The sequence below is a fragment of the Homo sapiens genome, chromosome 18 (genome assembly GCF_000001405.40).
Source record: "Homo sapiens chromosome 18, GRCh38.p14 Primary Assembly".
Taxonomy (NCBI): Eukaryota; Metazoa; Chordata; class Mammalia; order Primates; family Hominidae; genus Homo; species Homo sapiens.
This window is the reverse complement of record NC_000018.10, coordinates 35,324,895-35,348,879: the sequence shown is the minus strand read 5'-3', so window position 1 is coordinate 35,348,879 and position 23,985 is coordinate 35,324,895. Positions and strand designations below refer to the sequence as shown.

The 23,985-nt window shown below is 39.3% G+C and overlaps 1 protein-coding gene and 1 long non-coding RNA gene across 4 annotated transcripts, besides 3 other annotated features; one reads left to right on the top strand and one right to left on the bottom strand.

Annotated features, from left to right (window-relative positions):
• Nucleotides 1-4,826, bottom strand: LOC124904283 (uncharacterized). The gene is made up of 2 exons (XR_007066337.1): nt 4,141-4,826; nt 1-2,452 (listed from the first exon to the last, which is right to left on the bottom strand). It is a non-coding gene; the product is annotated as an uncharacterized LOC124904283 (long non-coding RNA).
• Nucleotides 4,233-4,402: a silencer, noted in NCBI's record as "silent region_9396". NCBI's record gives its function as "represses an Ori minimal core promoter by ATAC-STARR-seq in GM12878 lymphoblastoid cells {active_cell/tissue: GM12878}" and the evidence as "EXISTENCE:reporter gene assay evidence [ECO:0000049][PMID:35858748]".
• Nucleotides 4,460-16,653, top strand: ZNF24 (zinc finger protein 24). 3 transcript variants are annotated; one of them, NM_001375815.1, is made up of 4 exons: nt 4,460-4,510; nt 8,147-8,649; nt 8,904-9,051; nt 11,110-16,653. In NM_001375815.1, exons 2-4 carry the CDS (start codon nt 8,230-8,232, stop codon nt 11,646-11,648), a joined length of 1,107 nt encoding a protein of 368 aa, NP_001362744.1. In that variant the 5' UTR covers nt 4,460-4,510; nt 8,147-8,229; the 3' UTR covers nt 11,649-16,653. The 3 variants fall into 3 exon arrangements, with proteins under 3 accessions (NP_001362744.1, NP_001295052.1, NP_008896.2); NM_001308123.2 differs by having other exon boundaries at nt 9,807-16,653; NM_006965.4 differs by having other exon boundaries at nt 4,460-4,520.
• Nucleotides 5,083-5,142: an enhancer, noted in NCBI's record as "active region_13223". NCBI's record gives its function as "activates an Ori minimal core promoter by ATAC-STARR-seq in GM12878 lymphoblastoid cells {active_cell/tissue: GM12878}" and the evidence as "EXISTENCE:reporter gene assay evidence [ECO:0000049][PMID:35858748]".
• Nucleotides 23,290-23,985: an enhancer, noted in NCBI's record as "OCT4-NANOG hESC enhancer chr18:32904859-32905554 (GRCh37/hg19 assembly coordinates)". NCBI's record gives its function as "activates a minimal SCP1, AML or CMV promoter by ChIP-STARR-seq in naive H9 embryonic stem cells {active_cell/tissue: H9 hESC(naive)}" and the evidence as "EXISTENCE:reporter gene assay evidence [ECO:0000049][PMID:30033119]".

Sequence of the window (23,985 nt, the reverse complement as noted above, 5' to 3'; positions counted from 1 at the left end):
TACTTTATGATTCCATTTTTATTACATTCTGGACAAGTCAATACTATTGTGACAGATGACAAATCTGTGGTTGCCATGAATTGGGATGTGGCGAAGGCATGAGTACAACTTGATGGAGTTTTATAGAATGATGGAACTATTCTGTGTCATGATTTTGGTGGTCGTTTCACAAATCTAAAACTCAGAAATATCTGCCCCCCCAAAAGTGCCATATTTTGCTGTCTGTTAATTTTATTAAGAGAAGAACTCCATAAATAGAGAACAAATAATGAAACAAATAAACAAAGCCAAAAGTTGATTCTTTGAAAAATTAATAAAATTGATAAGCCTCAAGCAAAACTTGAAGTCTTGATTAAGAAAAAAGAAACCAGAAATTAGCAATGTCAGGAATGAAAGAGGGGACATCCCTACAAACATTAAAAAGATATTAAGGAACTCACATTAATGATATTAAGGAAATAATTGTGAACAACTTTATGCCAATAAATCTGACAACTTAAATGAATTAGACAGATTTCTTCAAAGATACAAACCATTTCCCCTTATATCTCATGGACCAGAAATGAATCACATACTCATTCCTCGGTGCCAGCAAGGCAAAGCGAGGGTCTGGCACAGGGAAGCAGAATGGTCATGGATAGCTTAGCTCAATTACACTTTATTGCTTACAGCTGGGCACACTGTTCCCCCTCTCCATCCAAAAAAATCAGGAGTGTATTAGAAGCAAGGGAAAGCACTTTGTGTGGGAAGCTAACGATGCTTGCCTATTAGGTTTTCAGTCACTTGCAATCAAAAGACTCCTCATACTGTATACTTACTAGCTAAAATGGAATCTTTAAGCAATGTACTTAAAGTGCCCAGAGGGAGATACTTTTGAGCTGAAGGGGACTGAGAGCTCCAAAGCCTGGAAAAAAAATCAGTCTTGGATGGAATCTGATAACACCAAATCTGAAGGTCTATGCTTTCCTTCCAGTGTGAACACTTTTTTTTTTTTTTTGATCAGGATCTCACTCTGTCCACAAGGCTTAAGTACAGTGATGCGATCAGAGCTCACTGCATCCTCAACCCCTCAGGTTCAAGAAATCCTCCCACCTCAGTCTCCTGAGTACCTGGGACCAAAGGTGCAGGCCACTATGCCCAGCCTGAAAACTTTTCTGGCTGGCTTCCTCCATTTCAGGGTGCCTCCCTTCCCTCTTAGCACACTATCTCATTTAGGAGCCCTTACAGGCCTTCTGCTTTTCTCTACTGTAGCACTTCTACACTGCCTTGTGAATACTTGTTTTTTTCTGTTGTTGTTGTTTATTTCCTTAACAAGATGGTAATGTTAAAAGAAGGAATCAAACTGGACATGGTGGCTCACAACTGTACTCCTAGCGTTTTAGAAGGCTGAGGCGGGAGGATCCCTACCAGGAGTTCCAGGCTGCAGCAAGCTGTGATTATGCCACTGCACTCCAGCCTGGGCAACAGAGTGAGATCTCATCTCTTTTAAAGGGAAAAACAAAGACGGAATCATGACTTCATTTTATTCATCTCTATTATCTCTGGTACCCAGGTAGTATCTGTCTGGTCATTTTGTTCGTTTTACCATTAATTAATGAATCAGATGTTTGGTATCAAGGCAAGGTTGAAAGATTTGGCTGGTAAAGAAATGAACCCTTTTTGAATTTAGACATATTATTATTTGCACAGACATTGAAAGCAAAAGCAAGTGCCAGCTCTCCATGAGCTTTTGTCTCAGATACCAAAATGATGACACCAAAACAGAAGGGGCTGGATGACTACAGCATACACTGTGGACACCTTGTTGCTGAGGGGTTAATGCCATGCTGCAGCTAAGCCTTGTTATAACCTGCAGCTGTACTCTAAGAGGGTAAGGCAGAATGGCTCGTTGGAACCCAGGAAGCAATAGAAACTGCCTCATGATAGTCTCTTTGGAAGACAGAGAGCTGAGTGGGAAATGGCCTTGCACTAGCTGCTTACAAGCCTCTCATGCACTCATCTTCTGGGAAGATCCCAAGGTGTTCTGCCAAGACTCAGATCAGCTGTGGTTCAGGCATTGCCTATGTGGCCTATGTGGATATGTGCAAGGTTGTCAGGCCCGGGTATGAAGCTGCTCCCTCCATTCAGGTTGTCCAGAGGAACATGTTTTATCTTGACTAGATCTTTAAGATGGCAACAAGGGCCACCATTCAGGAAAAAATCCCAGAGGACCTCAGAAGGATGGTGTTTCAAAGCGGGTGTTAGTAGCCCCTGCCCTCAAAGGAGTAACTTAGTGAGGAAAACCTTACTGTGGTTTCCATTTAGTAGTTTACAAATAATTAATAATAATAGAATGGAGGCCAGGCACGGTGGCTCATGCCTGCAATCCTAGCAATTTAGGAGGCCAAGGCAGGAGGGTCACTTGTGCCCAGGAGTTGGAGAGCAGCCTGGGAAACATAGGAAGAACTCATCTCTGAAAAACAAACAAACAAACAAACAAATTAGCTGGGCATGGTGGAGCACACCTGTTGTTTAAGGACTTATCAAAAGTGTAAGTCCAGCCTTCCATAAGCATTTCAAGATAAATTATTACAGCATAAAATGGAGGCCTTTAAATAGGAGAATGAAGTGGTTTGATTTGTAATTTTAAATGATTGCATCAACAGCTGTTTTATGGTATAAAATGCCCAGTTAGGAGGCTGAGGCGGGAGGATCACTGAGTCTGGGAGGTTGAAGCTGCAGTGAGCCAAGACTGCACCATTGCCCTACAGCCTGGGTGACAGAGCAAGACCCTGTCTCAAAAACAAAACAAACAATATAATCACAGGAAAAGGGTTTTGTAAAATTTTGCAACATTTTTAACTTCCTCAAGGTTAGGTTTCAGATTTATTATTTTTGTTTTCCAACATTAATTAGATGTAAAAACTCTTAAAACAAAAATGCCTTCAGCTAGCCTTTACAAATCAGATAAGAGGGAAAGGTTGGGAAGAGCAGCCAAGTTGCTTAGGGGCCGTATCCAAGTAGCAGAGTGAAAAGGCTGTACTTCTGAAGCTTCCTGCAATGGAGAGAAGTGTTAGCAGGGGTTGTGAGAAGAGCTCTGGTCGGAATGAAAAGCAGTGGTATACCATCAGCTGCTCGCTCACTTGCTCTCTCATGCACGAATCCAGCGGAGCCTGACGGCACTTTTCAGAGGGCATTTTCTCCAATGAGGCAAAAAGTCAAAGCCTGAGGATCTTGAAATGCTTATGTTAGGCTGGATCTACACTTTTGACCAGTCCTTAAACAACAGGGCTCCTTTGTGTGGTGTCTGATGCCAATCATGTGACCTAGCTAAAGGCAGCAATGTAACCATCCCACAATTCATTTATTTATTCAACAAATATTTATTGAGTTCTCTATTTACCAGGCAGTCAGCTTCCAGGATCTAGGATGGGATACTGTGGTGAGCAAGACAGACAAGGTCCCTGCCCTTAAGGGACTTAAAGACAAAACAAAACAAAAAATAAAACAAGTAAATAAATGAGATCACTTCCATTAATAACAGTGCCATGAAGGGTCATGCGCCATGAAAGGCAGGTGGTGAGGCTGAGGATCTTGGGCCACAATGAGCCGAGGAGCTGAGGTGACTGGGGGCGCCAGGGTCTGGGGGTGCGGGCAGGCAACAGACCACAGGGGACTTACAGGCCATTATAAGGAGTTTTTATGTCATAAATTATTATGACATAAATTGGAGGGCTTTAAATAGGGGAGTGAAGTGGTCTGATTTGTAATTTTAAATGATCGCGTCAGCAGTTGTTTTATGGTATAAAATGCCCAGCTTTAAGATGACCATGCATTCTACAAATTCACCGTGACATCACTGCCAAAACTCTTAACCTGTCTTATCTAGTTTTCCTGACAGATAAATAGGTCGGAATAAAGCTCCATGACATAACTAGTGGGAGCCAAAGATTTGAATCACGTCTTGGTTTCAAATCTTGCTACCCACAAATGAGTTGTGAGCTCTTGTCAGGTTATTTACTGTATTTGTGCCTCAACTATCTCAGCTGTGAAATGGGGATAATGAAAGTTCCTACATCATTTATTTGTGGAAAAAAAAATGACATGTAAAGCACGACGAGAGCGCCTGGCACAATGTAGTAAGCTTTCACAAACACTCACTTTCATTCCTTCTTGCAGGGGATTACTGAGAGGATCCACAAGATAATGCACGTGAAAGGGCTTGCGAAATTGTAAGGACTATCTTAATGGTAGAGTCCTCTTTATGTTTTCTTTTAAACGGTCCAGAGGACGCTGGGCTGTTCGAGGAGAGGCGCGAGGCCAAGCGCAGCCTCAATGCGGTCATTGTCGTGGGGCCGCCCCTCCCCCGCCCGGGGCGCTTCTCCATGGCAACGTGGGCTTTACCTCTCCCCGCCTCCTCAGGCCCGCAGACCGGAAGCAGCCCGCGCCGGGGGCTTCTGGGAAAAGGCTTGTGAACGGCGTTTCTGCGTCTGCCGTGGACAGCGAAGCTGCTGCGGTTCCTGAGCCGGAGGTTTGCGCCGGTGTGCGGGGAACGTTATGAGAGGGAGGGGGGACACCGGGCTAGGGTCTGCGGACCTCTTAGCAGGAGCCGGCGGGGAAGCCTGTCCGGGACCTTCCTCAGCTTCCCGGGAGGCGCGGGGAACAGGCCGCGGTCTCCGCGCCTAGCAGTTGTGGGGCGGGGAGGGGTAGGCGGCAGGCCTGCTTGGGTCTTCGGCATTTGCAGAGAGCTCTCTAACCCCCTGTGTCCTCCGAGACCCTCACCTTCCCCCTCCCCCACCGGCCGGTTTTGTTCTATTTCGAGGCCCTGGCGTCTCGCGGAGGGTTCTGGGAGTCGTGATGGGAGGGGGTGGTAGTGGGACGAGACTTGCGCGGGGCTTCTGGGATTTGTAGTCTCACCGGCCGCAGGCGGAAGTGCCGTGGTTCCGACGCTGTTGTCACAGGGTGGCCTTTGGTCATCTGAAATCCGCGGTCCTGAGTGCTGGGAAGAGGGGCTAGAGGACGTCGGGCCGGGGCCGGGGCCGGGGCCGGGATACACAGCAGGTCTATGCAGCAGTAAGGTGGGCGATCCACCTGGGACGAGGTACCCTGCCCAAACATTGTCGGGACCGTGGGCCTTCCCTCCATTTCCCACAAGCGGTATGCTCTACAGCATAAAAGGAAGAGAAAATTATGTAGAAATACTTGCACCGTTGATAAGCAGGGTCTTGGAATAGGAACGAATGAATGTTGGCTAGACCTTATGTATAAGGCCACCACACTCCAGGGTATTTAATTAAACCAGTATGTATTACTTGTCTGATAAGGCCTTTTCTGATTCTAGTCTTCATCTTGCTTGGGTTACAATAAGTTTTTTTAAGTTGTTATTGTTCAGATTTTGGGCCCTGAATAAATAAATAGGCTGAATGGCTCATTGCTAGTATGTGTCGTAAACAACAGCACGGGCATGATCGTGCAAATAATAAAGGTCCAGAAGCAGTATACAGTTTCACTGAAGGTAGAAGCTGGGGAAACTGTGAGTCCTCCAGTGTAAGGACAAGACACTGGACCACTGCAGGAAGTCAAGGTGCTTATGCGAGTGCCTTTTCTTAATAGAAGTTTCTGTGATTAATGCCTATCATTATAAATATAAATGTACGTATGGTGTGGTGGAAGACTGAATATTTACGTATTATGTGCAAGATAATTTTTCAAAATTATGTGATGTTTTTCACATATGATCTTTTCAATATTATGTGATCTGCTACTCAGCAAGTGAACATTTTTTCACATATAAGTCCAAGGAGTTCTTAAACACCTTAAAAATATTTTTTAAATGGTAAAGAAAATTTTTTTAAGCACATAATAATAAAGCGAACCTTCCTTTTGAGTTGACTTGTGTGTGTCAGGAAACACCAATCCTGAATTGGAAATAATGCGTTCCAGGGTCAGGCACATTTAGAAAGCACTGAAGTAGTCTGGTTCTTACTTGGATTCTTTTGATTATTGACATAGGGTTTGTCGTCTTAGTAGGTCATGATTGGCAAACTTTTTCTGTAAGCGGCCATATAGTAAATAAGGTCATGCATAACTCAACGATAGTGCTATGGTCTGAGAAATATGTTAGGCTATTTCATCCTTGTGTGAACGTCATAGAATGTACTTGCACAAACCTAAATGGCGTAGCCTACTACACACTTAGGCTATCTGGTATAGCCTATTGCGCCTAGGCTACAAACCGGTACGGCATGTTGCTGTACTGAATACTGTAGAGAATTGTAACACAATGCTAACTATTTGTGTATCAAAACATAGAAAAGATAAGAGTAAAATATGATATAAAATGTTTGAAAAAAAAAAAAGATATGCCTGTACAGGGCACTTACCATGAATGGACCTCGCTGGATTGGAAGTTGCTCTAAGAAGTCAGTGAGTGAGTGGTGAATTTGGAGGCCTGGGACATTATTGTACATTCCTATAGACCATATAAACACTGAACACTTAGGCTACACTAAATTTATTAAGAAAACATTTTTCTTCAATAATTAACCTTAGCTTACTGGAACTTTTTCACTTACAAACTTTTACATTTTTTTTTAACTTTTTTACTCTTTTGTGATAACACTTCACTTAAAATACAAACACATTGTACAGCTGTACAAATATATTTATATCCTTATTCTGTAAGCTTTTTGCTTTTTTTTTTTTATAGACAGAGTCTCGCTCTGTCGCCAGGCTAGAGTGCAGTGGCGCGATCTTGGCTCACTGCAGCCTCCACCTCGCGGGTTCAAGAGATTCTCCTGCCTCAATCTCCCCAGTAGCTGGGACTACAGGCGCAATCCACCACGCCCAGCTAATTTTTGTATTTTTAGTAGAGACAGGGTTTCACCATGTTGGCCAGGATGGTCTTGATCTCTTGACCTCGTGATCTGCCTGCCTCAGCCTCCCAAAGTGCTGGGATTACAGGCCTGAGCCACCGTGCCCGGCACAGCTTTTTGCTATTTTTAAATTCATTTTTTAGAGACAGGGTCATACTCTGTTGCCCAGGCTGGAATGCAGTGGTGTGATCATAGCTCAGTGGAGCCTTGAACTCCTGGTCTTTAGTGATCCTCCTGCCTCAGCCTCCTATAGTGCTGGGATTACAGGTGTGAACCATTGCACCTGGCCAATTTTTTTTTTCTTTTGGAACTGTTTTTGTTAAAAGCTAAGATAAACACATTAGCTTAGGCTTACACAGGGTCTGGATTATCAGTATCATTGCCTTCTACCTCCATATCTTGTCCCACTGGAAGGTTTTCAGGAGCAGTAACATACATGGAGCTGTCATCTCCATAATAACAGTGCCTTCTGTAATACCTCCTGAAGGACCTGCCTGAGGCCATTTTGCAGTTAACTTTTTTATTTAGTAAGTAGAAGGAGCACACTCTAAAATAATATAGTATAAAAAGTATAGTAAATACATAAACCAGTAACATAGTCGTTTATTATTGTTATCAAGTTTTATGTACCATACATAACTGTATGTGTTAAACTGGCAACACAGCAGGTTTGTTTACACCAGCATCACCACAAACATGTGAGTAATGTATTGACCTTACAACAGCTACAGTGTCACTAGGTGAATCTTGAATTTTTCAGCTCCATTATAATCTTATGGGAGCACTGTCATCTAGGTGGTCCTTCATTGACCCAAACATCATTTTGTAGTGCATGACTGTGTTGGGTTTTTTTTAGGCCATCTAGTCTGTTGAAACTACTCAACTCTGCTATTGTAGCGTGAAGTATGAGTAAGTACAATTATTTATGGACACAGTCATGTTAATTTCATATCATTTTCACGTGTCATGAGGTATTCATTTGATTTTGGGGAGCTCCATTCCCTAAATATCATTAGGTATTCATTTGATTTTAGGGATCTCCGCTCCGTAAGGCACTGTGATGAAGACCACAGCCATTTAAAAATGTGAAAATTATTGTTGGTGCAAGTGTTGTACAGAAATGGGTGGCAGGCTAGATTTGGCCGTGAAGCTGTAGTTTGCCAATTCCTGGTGTAGGTTATTGATTGGAATTTTTAACTCAAAGAACAAGTATCTTTTACTTTTACCAGTATAAGTTCAAATTCTTAGGATATTTTTGCTTATTTATATATCTTTTATTTCTTATGCCTCAGGAGTGCCTGTGAAGAAAACGGGGTATTGCCCTGAGGCTTATATTCTGCCTCAGTTGTCTTTTCTTGAAATATTATAAATCAGAATGTCTGCACAGTCAGTGGAAGAAGATTCAATACTTATCATCCCAACTCCAGATGAAGAGGAAAAAATTCTGAGAGTGAAGTTGGAGGAGGATCCTGATGGCGAAGAGGGATCAAGTATCCCCTGGAACCATCTCCCAGACCCAGAGATTTTCCGACAGCGATTCAGGCAGTTTGGATACCAGGATTCACCTGGGCCCCGTGAGGCTGTGAGCCAGCTCCGAGAACTTTGCCGTCTGTGGCTCAGGCCAGAGACGCACACAAAAGAACAAATCTTGGAGCTGGTAGTGCTGGAGCAGTTTGTTGCCATCCTACCCAAAGAGCTACAGACTTGGGTTCGAGATCATCATCCAGAGAATGGAGAGGAGGCAGTGACAGTGCTGGAGGATTTGGAGAGTGAACTTGATGACCCTGGACAACCGGTGAGCCTGCTTGTGTCATTTCCTGTGTCAGAAGCACTGGCATAGGTAGTAGGCAAAGCTGCTGAATTAATTCCACTCAACTAAGTTAGAATTATGTTTATGCCTTTTCCCCCATTCCCCTACCACTCCTTGTTATCTGTGCCGCTTTGCCATCTAGGCTTCTGCAGTATTTGTTTCATGGGGTTTCTCTTACGTGTTTTTAGTTCTGATTCTCATTACAGTTCCTTCTCTGAATCAAATCTTTCTGTTTCCAGGTTTCTCTCCGTCGACGAAAACGGGAAGTACTAGTAGAAGACATGGTATCTCAAGAAGAAGCTCAGGGATTACCAAGTTCTGAGCTTGATGCTGTGGAGAACCAGCTCAAGTGGGCATCCTGGGAGCTCCATTCCCTAAGGCACTGTGGTGAGGACCAGAACTCTGTGTGGGCTAGAGGGTGAAAGAGAGTATAGGCCTTTTGTTCAGAACTTTGCTTGTTCTCACTGGTGGGGGGATCATATCACTCTTAATCTAATATCTCAGTTTTTTTCTGATTAAGTTGATTTTGCTGGCCTCAGACCTTTTATTCCTAGACATTAACATCTTCAGCCTTTTCTTCCCTTTCAGTCTCCTTCCTAAAAAGAGTTGCCCATGTCAGGCTAGCATTTGCCTTACTTTGAGCCAGCACCCACCCATGGACCAAGTCCCTCTATTTTGCATTCAGTATTACTTGTCATCTGTTTTACATCCTTTTACTTTCAATCTCCTGCCTAATTCCATTGGTACAGTAAGCTTACCTGAAAACCTCTTCTAATCTCTTTGTTGTATATCACTGAAATCTTTCTAAATATTTATTTCTGATTTCCTTCAACGTCTACCTAGAGTCATTTTCTTCTAAGAAGCTTCTTTTGTAGAAATATTTGGAGTAATTTTTTTCCTTTTTCTAAGTATTTATGCAAAAAAAGCCTCCTTAGCTATAACATGCTTTAAATGCAGAAAAATCTTTTTTAAAAGCTCAAAGTTGTATTAATTCACGAGACCAGTCTTTCCCAATATATTAGCCATTAACACCATATACTTATGTGTATCCTTTGATATGGCCCAGTATATTCCTAAAACTGCTAGATTGCTTTCTCATGTTTATGTGAACTAAAATGAAATTTTGTTTGACTCTGCTTTAGTAATCATTCCTTGAAGTAGTTGGAGATGGTGCTGGTATGCCACTGAATGAGGTCTGAGCAGGTTTTCTTCACATCTGAGGGGACAGTGCCAGCCAGTCAACTTTTGGGGTGGGGCTGAAGTCTGCTGAAAATCTGCAGTTTTACATGTTTCATGGGACATTCTTCTGTGCAATAAAGTTTGAGAAGTATCATTCTTGATATATGGGGCTGATATTTTCAACTTCTCATCATCTGAATTTTAGAGTGACTTTTCACCTGCGTTCCTTATTTCAGCTGTCTAGTCTCTTCCACACTTGGGAATTTCTGTTTCCTGTGTGCCGTTTGTCTCCACTTAATCTTCACGCTCCTCTGTTTTTCAAGTCTCCAAGCCTCACTATCCTCCTCTAACCTTTCAGTCTCTCTCTCTTAGCCTTATCTCCTGACTTGATCTTTTTGTTAATTATTTACTGTTTTCCTCTTCGCTGAAGGCAGTTGCTAACCCTATATGAACTGGATCTTTACTCCTTAAGGCATGAAGTTTTAGAAAAGTCTTAAATGACACTTGCTGTTATCTCTGCCTGCGTGTGAGTGATGCTAACCCATGTTGGTAATTCAGGCTTTTCTTTCATTGGACACGTTTCACTGAGGCTTAGAAATAACGATTTTTCTAAGTACCATGACAAATACCACATGGGAGAAGCTGCTTTTATTGGAAAACTTTCATTTATTAGGGGCATACTGAATTTTTATGTCATGTCTTTGGTTAACACAGGAGGCCCCCAGCTTATCTTCAGCCCCTTCTTGTCAAGACTCCTGTGTTCTGCTTTTAGGCTAACATTGGCTGTGACCTGACTTGGCTTGTTCATTTCAGAAATAGCCACTTTCTGACATGTTTTTCTAATTTACATCTTTGTATTTTGATGTAATTTCTCCCTTTCTCAAAGTAAAAGAACATTATAATGATTTCCTAGTGGCCAATTTTATTTTATTTTTATTCTTACAAAGTTTCATCCATACCTAGCCACATCATTTTGACTATCTCCCTAACCATCTTAGAATCTACCATCTTTCTGACCTTTGTTTTCTGACTACCATTTGTAAACCACTTGCCTATGTTTTATTCAGATATCCCTTATATCATGATGTTATACTGTTATTCAGAGTAATTTCATTTTTTCTTTTTTGAGAATAGGCCTTAACACCAGTGTCAGAGTGGTTTATAGATGTGTGCTAGCTATTTTAGTTCATTAAAAAAAAAATTTTTTTTAGGTTTCTTTTCCCTTAATAGATAATGAATGATATTTACATTTTCTGTTTATTTCAGATGATGATGGTAGGACTGAAAATGGAGCACTAGCTCCAAAGCAGGAGCTTCCTTCAGCATTAGAATCCCATGAAGTTCCTGGCACTCTCAATATGGGTGTTCCTCAAATTTTTAAATATGGAGAAACCTGTTTCCCCAAGGGCAGGTTTGAAAGAAAGAGAAATCCCTCTCGAAAGAAACAACATATATGTGATGAATGTGGAAAACACTTCAGTCAGGGCTCAGCCCTTATTCTTCATCAAAGAATTCACAGTGGGGAGAAACCTTATGGATGTGTTGAGTGTGGGAAAGCATTCAGCCGAAGTTCCATTCTTGTGCAACACCAGAGAGTCCACACTGGAGAAAAACCTTACAAATGTCTTGAATGTGGGAAAGCCTTTAGCCAGAATTCGGGGCTTATTAATCATCAGAGAATCCATACTGGGGAGAAACCTTATGAATGCGTTCAGTGTGGGAAATCGTATAGTCAAAGCTCAAATCTTTTTAGACATCAGAGAAGACACAATGCAGAAAAACTTCTGAATGTTGTGAAAGTTTAAGAAATTGAAAAAAAAAAAAGAATCAGCACTCAGGTCTTTTTCTTCAGAAATGAAGACAAAATTTAAAATATGAAATGATGCAGAATAGTTTTTTCCCTATTGACTGTCAGAAAATCCACTGGGAAATGTAAAAATCTTCACTCACCATTATGATATTTATCTTGAAAGAAATGGTGTCATACCTGCCTAGAAACTGAAATTTTAAACTTAATTCAGGTCTTAATGCCTAAATTTTCCATGTGATGTTTATAGTCTGTATTACTTCTCCAAATAATGAACTACCTGATTCATTGTCCCTTTCTTGAAAGTTTCTTTTTTAAGACAAATACATTATTTCTGCATTGATCATTGAAATGTTCTTTATATGGATACATTCCCTTATATATTAAAAGGCAACAGGAATTACAAAGTCTGAAAACCATTTTAAACCATCTTTTAAAAATTTACCCTTATTTCCTTTTACCTAATTTGAATATGCATTTGAGAAAATAAGAGGATAAAGGATGGCTAAGAGCCTCAAAATGAACCATAAGATCTCAGATAAGAAGTGATGGTGATAAAACATCAAAAAGTGAATGGAACACCTTGATTGGGGAAGATATGCAAATACTTTGATCTAAGAATTGAAATGTATCAAGAATTTATATTTTGCCTGCAGGAAAATTCAAAAGCTACTCATCCTCTCTATAATTTGGAGTCATCTTACTAATGAAAATAATGTTTTCCCATATATTATTAAAAAGCATACAGTCTAAATAATAAACAGTTGTAAAATAATGAAGGTAGAAATTATAACACTAGGGAAAAATTTGTAGCGGATGGCAGTGTTGAAGGCAAATGTAAACATAAGGGTAATGGTCTGTCATGGCTTTTAGAAAAAGATGATAGAGTTCATCATTATTTTGCCTTCATCTTTGTTAAGGACAGAAAATTCCCTGACAGGTGGGCAAGTATCAGGTTACCTATTTTTTATTCCTTTGGTACAAAAGGGTTGAACGTCAGGCTAAAAAAGCAGCCATGCATTTATTATTAAACATTTTCTACCGACAAGGCACTGTGCTAGGTACTGTAATCCTACCATAAGTAGGTAGGTATTTCTTCCACTGTAAATCATAGGGGTTTGCTGTTTTATGTGAGTTAGCCTCTTCCCCTTGTCTGAGCATTCCTCAGGGGAGGTCACCTGTGAGGTTCCCAGAACTGTAGTTTTTTTTACCAGGGTGTTGTATTTGGAGGGGGAGGAGGACTCGGCTCAAAAGAGCTAGCTGGCTCTCCAGTGTTCAGAGGTGAGTCCACGATACTCTTACCACAATTTGGAAGTTTGTGAATCTTTTTAAAGAACTAATCAATCTCTAATAGCATTGAGGTTGTACCTACATATTAAGTTGAATGGACTGTTCTATTTAAAAAATAAACAACTAGACAATTAACTAGTTTATTAACCTATCACAATTGAATTTTTTTTTAATTTTCAGTCTTAACACATTTTTTAAAATGTATTAAAGTAATACATTGTAGTAGTAGGATTATATACTCCTTGGCTGAGAATTCCAAGTACTGTGGTTCTACTGTTTAGTGGAAAACTCTGGAAGTTAAAATATAGAATATGAGAGGAGGCTTTTTTATAATGGGCATCATTGTGTGGAAAATGACCCATGTGAATACAAATATTTCCTAGTTCAGAGATTTTGGTTATATCTGGTGCTTGGATCAAGTTTAAAAATGGAAGGTGAGATTTTGCATGAGCCTATTAAAAAGCATAGTAATAAATGCAAGGCCAGCTGGTGGAAAAGTGAGGCAGAATGGAGCTTGTTTATAGGTTTTCTGATAACAATTATAAAAAATGTGCTTTATAGATTAAGATTTATTGAAGTATAAATATGTAGTAATGATATAATGTATTTTAAGTTATACAAGAAAATGTAGGGACTTTTGTTTGGGTCTTTTTCTCTTTGTGGCTGAGGGGAAACAAGTCAGTGTCCAATAAAGCTGTAAACTCCTCTGCTCTAAGATAAATGATGTGATTTATTTATTTATAACTGGCTTCTTTCCAAGTAGGTTTTCAGGTGGCATATTTGGAAGACGGCTGGAATGACAGAATTCTTGTATCAGAGTAGGTAAGAAGGGAGCAACCTCTCAATGGCTATTATGTCATGCTTTTTAAGATCGTATGCGGTTCCTATATACAAGGAAGCTTCCCTGTGGTAGATTTGTCATAAATGCCAAAGATATTTGGTAATGTGAGTGTAGAAAAAGTAGTATGAGGGTTGGCAAATACTGTTTTTGTCTTGGCAGCTCTAATATCTGCATTGTTCAGAAAGGATTCTGAGGCTAAGGCAAAGCTCTGTGGGAAAAAGGGACTGGACCAAAAAAAACTGGATGGTGGCACACAAGAAGAGGAAATGATGAGATGTGTACTTTCTATCTCTGGTTAGGCTTAGTCCCCACTAGACAAATTGATTTTAAATACTATGTAGTGATTTTTAAATTCCATCCACACATTCATTACCCACACAGATAATCATAGAAATTTGGGGGAGTGCCTAGCTTCTGATGAAGTGGTGATATGGCAGTGCCAAGCAGTGGCATCGCCAGAGTATCTGTTTGGTTAGCAAATGAGCAGTCATTTTAGGTCATGCAGATTGCTGATATCTGCCCAGTAGCCACTGAGCATTTGCTGGTTTTTTCTTCTGGCTTTCTTGGAGGTTAAGCTCTCTGTAGTCATACCCAGTTGGTACTTGATCTTTAGCAATATGTCTCATATTCATGTAAATTGAAGGGAGGGTTACATGTACTGAAATAATCTGCATGCTAGGCATTGGCTTAGACACCGTACCTATCTCACTTAGATTTGTGGACTAGGAAAGCAAGATTCAGAGATCATGTGACTTGCATGTGGCCTAGAGATAAAATTCAAATCTGGTTCTGTAGACTCCAGGGACATATTCACCATGCCATGGGTGGTGGCTATTAAACCTTGATAAATTTGTGTTTATGGTTAACAAATGTGAAAGCTATTAAACATTGCTGGTTTGAATTTTTTACAGTGCAGAAATGTAAAATGAAAAAGGATATTTCCTTTCACAGTGTTACCGAGAAGTCATGATAATTTCGTTTGTTCTTCCAGATTTAGGCATATACTTATTTAATCAATAATGTGTTAACAGCTGACACCTGTGGTTGCTGTGACAGGCACTATTTGAAGTGCTTTATCATGGATTAACTCTTAATCCTCAGCTACCGTATAAAGTAGGACATAACCCCATTTCACATGCACTACACTGAGACTTGCCTCCTCTCCCCCCACATTGAAGATGTTCTTTTTTCATAACTATATACTATTCCATTGCATGAATATTCTGTAATTTATTTAATCCCCTATGGATTGATAATTAGGTTCATTATAGATAGAAGTGTAATTAACATTCCTGTACATGTATTTTGCTACTTGTGTGGGTATTTCTGTAGGATGAATAACTAGAAATTTATTGGATCAGGTTTCACATTTGCAGTTTTGAAAACTACTACCAAAAAGATTTCACCAATTTACAACTCCATCATTAGTAAGAATGCCTGTTTGCCTATAGTCTGCCAACCCTGAATCCTTAAAAATTTTTGCCAATCTGGTAGGCAAAATTTCTTTCTTTTCTTTGAATATTAATGAGGAGGAACATCTTTTCATGTTTCTTGGCCATTTGCATTTCCTATTATGAATTGCTTTTGCCCATTTTCCTTTTTTTAATTATGAAAGTCTAATGACTACCTTCTCATTGTATAAAAAACACAGTTCTTTGAATAGAGAGACCCTTTTCTCCAATGCTACCAATCACATTCCACTTACCACAGTTTAACATACATCCTCTAGTCACCTTTCCGTACGAATATACATACACATAAAAACACTTTTTACATAAATAGGATCTCATATTCTGTAGCTTTTTAAAATTTTGGTCTCAAAAAAAGATAACAGGTCTTTAAATTTCTTTAATGGTTGAATATGATTAAATACTATGAAAATGCCATTATTTATTCCCTTAATTTTTTTCCTCTCGCTATTACATTGCCAAAGTAAACATCCTATTCAGATGTCTTTGTGCATGTGTGTGAATATTTCTTTAGTCTGGAGTCCAGTAAGGTGGATTTTTGGATCAAAGGGTTTGTTCTCTGTCCACCTTCAGTCTTCCCAAAGGCCTTCATAACTGTATTTTCACCAAGTGTATGGAGAATGTTCATTTCCCCATATAACCATACCTACACTTGATAGTTTTTATCTGTTGGGCGAAAAAGAACCTTTTCTTATTTTGCATTTCCCTGATTATAAAAAAAAATGGTGAGATTGGGGTTATTTTCATGTTTATTGGCCATTTATAGTTTACTGTGGATTGTTTGTATCCCTTACCTGCTTTCTATTGGGTTATGTGTGGATATATTGTTTTTATTTGTTCAGCATCTCCTTCCCCATCTTCTGGTAACACAACCTTTATTTATTTGTGGGGAACCTATTCCCTGTGGCTTAGGTGAGCATGTGACCAGGCCTGGCCTCCTGAGTCCCACAGCTTCCTAGCCACAGTGATAAAAGAATGGGTATATAACTTAAGCCAGGCTAAGGAAAGCCCTTAACAGAACTTCTGCTGGAACTACTGGAAAGAAGGCTTTATGGAGATCCCAGGAACCAAGGACCATGTAAGCCTGAATTTGTGCCATGTGGAGAGAGTCTGTCTGAGGAGAAACTCGGATGCTAGCAGAAATGGAAAGAGAACTAAGTTCTGATGTCATTTTTCTGGAGGCCCTAGATCCAGCTGTGCCTAAAGCCTGCCCTACCTCCGGACTTTAAAGTTTTGTGAGCCAATAAAGTCCCTTTCTTGTTTAAGATAATTGAATTGAGTTTCTGTTCTGATTAATATAGGTTATTTGTATTTTCTTATTGATTTGTAGAAAACCTTTGTAATTTTAAATTCTAGACTTTATGCACTATATAAGTTAATAAAATTAGCATGGCCTTCCATGATTTGGCCTGTGTCAACTTTTGCCATTTGTTACTCCATTCTCCCTATAACACACACCCCACACACATACACTTTACATTCCAATAGTAACAACATTGATGTTGGGAATGTGGATGAACAGCTTTTTACACAATTGCCTCTTTGGCAGTTCTCTTCTTATTCTTCCTCTAGACTCATTAACCTGGGACTTTAAGGGTTACACTGCTGAGAGCTGTACCCATCTCCTACCATTGTTCTTGGGGGATTCCCCTCAAGCATTCCCTGTATACAACCCTTGGAGCCCTTCCAATGACCTCCATCCCAACTCCATGGTTCTCTGGCTCTTTGTTTCATTCTCAGGCCTGTGGACTCAAGACGTGAATGAGCACACACAGACCTGAGCAGCCTCACCCTGTGGGCTCTTTTCTATGGCCAGAAATGTAGCAGCGCTCTATGTCACCTGGCACCTCTATTAATCACATCTCCTAAGATGGAGTTTTCAAAGAGATGTCTTTCAAAATTGAGGAAAACATTTTGCAAGCTTTTATTCAACACATTTAAATGCCTACTCTGGGTCAGGCACTGTTATGGGATTTACATCTGTTGCTTGCGTGTGTGAAAAACTACACGTGGCAGTGGAAAACCAAAAGTAAATGAGAAACAGTTTTTTAAGAAAGCATATTGTATGTCATATGATGAGAAGTGGTTAGGGAGAAAATAGGAAAGGGATACAAAATGTCAAGAAGGAAAGATAGTGCAATTTAGATAGGCTGGCCAGGGAAGGTTTTCACTGAGAAAGTGACATTGGAGAAAAGATAGTATAAGGAAGCAAGCCATGAGACTGGAGAGTGTTCCAGGCATGAAAACACCAACTGCAAAGCAAGCTGATGTAAGAGCAATGCCTCATTTGTGCAAGAAACCAAAGAGGCCCGTACGGCTAGAGCAGAATGAACATGGGGGGAATTAGGTGAGGCCAAAGACAAATGTGGTGAGGGTGGCAGGGAGAAGCTGGATCATGGAGGACCTGGTTAGCCATTGATAGAACTATAACTTTTTCTTTGTAATGAGAGACCATTAGAGGTTTTAAGCAAATGAGTAATGTGACAAGGTGCTGAGAACAGCTGAGCAAAACAAAATCTCCATCTAGTTTATCTAAATTCTTAAAATATTTCTTTACATATTTTCTTATGAAGGTAATATAATAGGAAAAGTTTAGAAATAAAAATCACCCAAAAAGTCATGCGAATCCATAATCCTAATAACATCCCAGTAACATTTTTTATTCTCTATACACCTATATAAATGTTCTATCTATATACCTCTCCCCATCTATATCACACCATTATTCACAACAAATACATATTTAGGAAAAAAAAGTGTGTCTATATGTCTATATACGGCTTCCTTCTTTCCTCTGAACTTTAGATCAACTGTCTGCTTCTGCCTAAGGCTAACCTCTCCACTGGATCCAAGCTGTCTTCTCACACCTCGGAAAGACATACTCCAATAGTCCTCACCTTTCCCACATTTCAGTTTTTCCTGTCTTCTGAAATTCTCTAATTAACATAAAAATATGCTGTTTTTATCACACAAAAACCTTCAGGCCAAGATGGAGTACAGGGATCAGATCTAACCTGCCTGAATAAATAAAATATCAGACAAAATATAGCAGACAGAGGCAAAGAATGGGAAGATGGGATTCCCAAGAGACAAAAAACAAATGAGGCAAACTTGGATTGCCCATTTACTTGCCTGGGGAGAATTTCCAGGCCTCAGCACAGGGAGGGTGGCTCAGGCAGAGACTGGCAGTTTTCTTAAGTTGAGAAGATGGAGCAAGAAGTCCTGGGAGGCCAAGGTGGCTAGCTTTTGCAGGACAGAGTATCAGAGAGGAGATAAGTGCACAGAAAGACAACAGTGGAGATCTGCAGAGTCCCTCTCAAGTATTCAGTTGAGTACTTAATAAACATATATGTAAGGAGACTACCTGAGTTTGGGAAAAGAACTATCCAAAAGGATTAGAGGGAAAAATCACCGGAACTCACAAAGAGACAGGAATGGTATCAGCCAGAGTAGAAAACCTCATAATTCATAGAGCATCAGAGCAGTGATTCTCAAAAGCAATTCTGTCCCCCAGGAGACATTTTTGGTTGTCACAACCAGAGGAGATGGGCACTACTGGCATTTAGTGGGTAGAGACCAGAAATGCTACTAAGTATCCTACAATTTATAATAATGAATTAGCCCCAAATGGCAGTAGTGCTGAGGTTTGAAAAAACTCCTGGTTAGAGTACTAGGGAAGGATCTTGCCTACTTTGTGGAGAAAAATAAACCCTAAACACTGCTTAAAACTTAAAAGCAAGACCTGAGAAGATAAAACTTAAACACATCCCAGAAGAAAGTTCAAGAATACAATGTCCCTGTATCGGACACGAACGTGTGTATGTGTGTGTATTTTTTAAATACCCAACACCTGGCCGGGCGCATTGGCTCACACCTGTAATACCAGCGGCTCACACCTGTAATCCCAGCACTTTGGGAGGCCGAGGCGGGCGGATCATATAAAATGCTCAATTAAAATCACAAGACCCATGAGCCAGGTGCAGTGGCCCATGCCTATCGGCCCAGCTACTCAGGCGGCTGAGGCAGGAGGATCACTTAAACCAAGGAGTTTGAGACCAGCCAGGCAACATAGTAAGACCACATTTTTTTAAAAAAAGAAAAATCACAAGAGGCATAGAAAGAGTGGAAGACAAAAATAGTAACAAAAAACAAGGACAACAAATAGAAAACAGTAACGAATATGATGGTAGTTCAAGTATGTCAATAATCACTTTGAAATATCAATGGTCTAAATGCATCAATTGGAAGAGATTGTCAGAGTCGATCAAAAACAATACCCAAGTATATATTGTCTACAAGCAATGCAACCCACCTTAAATATAAAAACAAAAATAGATTAAAAGTAAATGGATGGAGAGAGCTGTGCCATACTAATGTTAATCAAAAGAAAGTGGAAGCATCTATATCAATTTCAGACAATGCAGACTTCAAAACAAGGAATGGTATCAGGGACAACCAAGAGTATTACAAAATGATAGAGGGATTAATTCTCCTAGAAGACATAACAATTCTTAACATGTATGTGCCTGACAACATTGTCAAAATACATGAGGCAAAAACTGATGACAATGCAAAGAGCAATAGATGAATCCACCATGAAGTCACACTTGCAGACTTCAATGCCCCTATATCAGACATGAACAGATCCAGCAGGTAAGGACATAGTTGAACTCAACAAGATACTTATATCCAGTTATATCCAATAACTGGATATAATGAACATCTATATACCATTTCATCTAACATGGCAGAATACACATTATTCTCAAGTTCACATGGAATATTCACCAAGATAGGCCACATTCTGGGCCAGAATTATCTATCTTAATAAGATAGAATAAGAATAAAGAATAAAGTAAACCCAAGATAAAGAGAGGAAAAGAAATAAAGATTAGATTTGAAATAAAGATTAGATTTACATTTACTACCAAAACGTCCTTTGGTAGGTGAATGGATAAATAAACTATGGAATATCTAGACAGTGGGATATTATTCAGTGCTAAAAATAAATGGGCTATCAAGCCATGAAAAAACAGAGGAAATGTAAATGCATATTATTAAGTGAAAGAAGCCAGTATGAAAGGGTTACATACTGTATGATTCCAATTATATAACATTCTGGAAAATCAAAACTCTGGAGACATTCGAAAGATCAGTGGTTGCAGGGGTTGGTAGAGGGGAGAGAGGATGAATACAAATGAATACACAAAGCACAGAGAATTTTTAGGACAGTAAAACTACTGTATATATTATAATAGTAGATATATGTCATTATAAATTTGTCCAAACCCTTGTAGTGTACACCACCAAAAGTGAACCCTAATGTAAATTATGGATTTGGGGTGATAATGTAGTGTTAACGTAGGTTCATCAGTTGTAACAAATATACCACTCTGGTGGGGGATGTTGACAATGGAGGAGGCTATGCATGTGTCGGGGTAGGGCGTATATGGGAAATCTCTGTACCTTCTGCTCCATTTTGCTGTGAACCTAAAACAGTTCTTCAAAAAATATATATTAAAATTATTATCATCATCATTAACTTCATCATCATCTATGAGATACAGTCAAAGTATTACTTAGAGGGAAATTCATAGCAATAAAGCAATTATAGTAGAAAAAATTTCTCAATTACCTCAGCTTCCAACTTAATAAGATAGAATAAGAATAAAGTAAACCCAAGATAAAGAGAGGAAAAGAAATAAAGATTAGATTTGAAATCAATAAAATAGGAAACGGAAAAACGAGCAAAAAATGAATTTCTATACTCAATTTAAACCAAAAGTATCTTGTAAAAATAATAGTAAAATTGATAAACTTCTAGCCAAACTGATCAGGAGAAAAAGAAGATACAAATTATATCAGGAGTGAGAGGTGTGACATTATTATATATTATACAATTTTTCTCAACATAGAGTTCTAGCCAAGTTTGATAACCTCAGTGTTGATGATTCCAATTCTCATTTCTCAGACTTACATTGCTTACCAATGAATAGTATTTTGTATAATTGACATATTTTAGTTTGGCTTCCAGAACAACACTCTTGATTTCTCTCTACCTCATGAGCTGTTTCTTCTCAGTCTCAATGCTGGTATTTCCTCACCTCTCTGGACTTCTTTCTACATATTGGAGTGCCTGAGGGCTCAGTGTTCAGCTCTCTTTTCTTTTCTAGCTATATCCACTTCCTAGTTGATTTCATGGTCTTATCTTGTTAAATACTATCTACAAATCCAAAATCTATATCCCCAGCCCAGAGACCTCTTCTCTGAACTTCAGACTCATGTATCCCTTTGCCTAATAAACATCTCCACTATGAAACCTGTCTTAGTCTGGATTCCTGAGAAAATAGGGCCTAAGACAAAACCTTATTACTAAGACAATATTAGGGTGATGCAATTCAAGAAAAGCATGACTGAAGGTAAATGAGAAGTGAAGCAGAGGAGAGAAAGCAAATATGAGTAGGTGTTATTGAGCTGTCTGTAGCTTCTAAAGGCACAGCTGTTTGCTTAGTCTCACTGATCATTTTCAGGGCACAAGCCATGTGAACTAAAGTACTGCATCTTACCTTACTATGGGGTGAGGAAGAAAGAGAAGACTTCTCTGCAGACTCCTCTCTCCATCTGGTCAGTTTCCACCACAGAGCATCAGCTACACCGCACTTCCAGGTTGCACCATTCAGTCTCTCCAGCAGCAATCACTGAGGAGGTCAGGCTCCAAGAAAACAGCACAGGATGAGTGGCAGGCCAGCAATCAAATGGGAGTCAGCAACCTCCAGGGTGGATGGTGCAATCTTAGACAATCATCAGCATCGTAAGAGCAGAAAATTCTGGCCCTGAAAACATAAGGAGCCTTATAAATTGGCTTTGGTACCATGACTGATTAGGCATAATAAACCTAATATACCCAGAAGCAAATTTCTTCCCCAAACGTGTCCTCCTTTAGTCTTCCTCCTCTTAGAAAATGGTAATTTTGTCCTTCCAGTTGCTCAGGCTAATAGCCTCCCTGCTTCTCTGCTTGCCCTATGTTACTCAGTTCTCAACACAGCCCCTAGATCATATAAGTCAGACCATGTCACTCCTCTGCTCGAAATGCTCTCCCATTTTACTCTACATAAATGTCAAAGGGGCATAGTGTCTGCAACTTACTCTTAAATAATTCAGACAAATATTCTACATATGTGGGGCAATCATTCTGTGATTCTCCCCGTGTATACATGTTAAATAAATTTGTATACATTTTCTCCCCTCCAAAATTAAATATATATATACATATAATGTATATATGTACATATTGCATATATATAAAATATGCCTAGATAGGTATATGTAACAGTAATAGGTATAGTAGTATGTCTAGATGTGTTATATATAGATATATGTCTAGATAGGTAAGTAGATTAGATAGAGTTGGTAGGATGGAGGATTATAAAGTAAATATGGTAAAATGTTAACATTCGAGGACTCTGGGTAAAGGATATACAGGAATTCTCTGTATTATTCTTTCAATTTTTATATAATTTTGAAATTGTCAAAATTCAAAGTTAACAAAACTTAATGTCTCAGGAAAAGAGCGAATTACTTAAAGGAAAATCAGGGCAGGTGTGGCTACTGAGAAAGCTTGGGTCAGGGAGGGGGAAGGAGGAATATCAAGAAAGGAATTACTAACATCCACCCATTATAGACATAATTTTAAATGATGTTATAGAACTATGTTATGGACATGTAAAATATGACATAACAATAGGAAAAAAATTAGTTTACCATTATACATACAATTTGCTAAGTAGGCTTCTGGCAATAAGTGACTTTTATCTTTATTCTCTTACATGTTATTTTTTCTTTTTTTTTTTTTTTTACAATAAGCTATCAGTAAATTTATAATCAGCAGGAAATCAGTAAAACATTTTAAAAGGAAGAAAATTCTCATTTAGATCAGGGGTCAGCAAACATTTTCTCTGAAGGACATGATAGTAAATATGTTCAGCTTTGAGGACCATAGAGTTTCTGTTCCAAGTATTTAACTCTGCCATCATAGCAGAAAGCAGCCTTAGATAACATGGGCATGACTATGTTCCATGAAAACTTTTTATTTGCAAAAACAAGTGGCTATCTGGCCTTCCTAAAATAGTTTGCTAACTCATGGTTTATATAGCCACTTATTTCCCTATAGCATGGCTTACTGGGAAGGAATGTTCTCATTGCTTTGGAGCTTCCTGTGGAGCCAGCCCCCTAGACCAACTGGCAGTCTGGAATTTTGACTGGTCCTGTGTAATTAGTTATATTATTGAGTAAACAGACCAAAAGAAATTAAATGAAAACGATCTTTACAAATAACAAGCACCTTGTGTAGAGGAGTGTAATGTAAGTGATAAATGTATATTTTGTCATATTGTAGATAGTTAGTTAGATTCAGTCTGCCAGAGAAGTGAATGCTAACTGTTGGAAAGAGATTCCTTTAAATGATGATGAAAGGCTCAGCAGTAACTACCTGACAAAGGCCTGGAGGGTGTCCTGGGGAGATGTGAGGAGAATTCTAGGGAAAACCAGGCTCCTTCTGGTCTTGTTTGAGGGAGGAAATCTTCCTTTCTAAAGAGCATAATCCACAGATGCCATAAAATTAGTTGGGTAGTATACCATCTTCTCCCATTACCTTGAAGAGATTGCGTACAATTAATTATTTTTTCCTTTAATGCTGAAAGTATTCTTCATTGAACTATCTAGCCTAGAATACATTT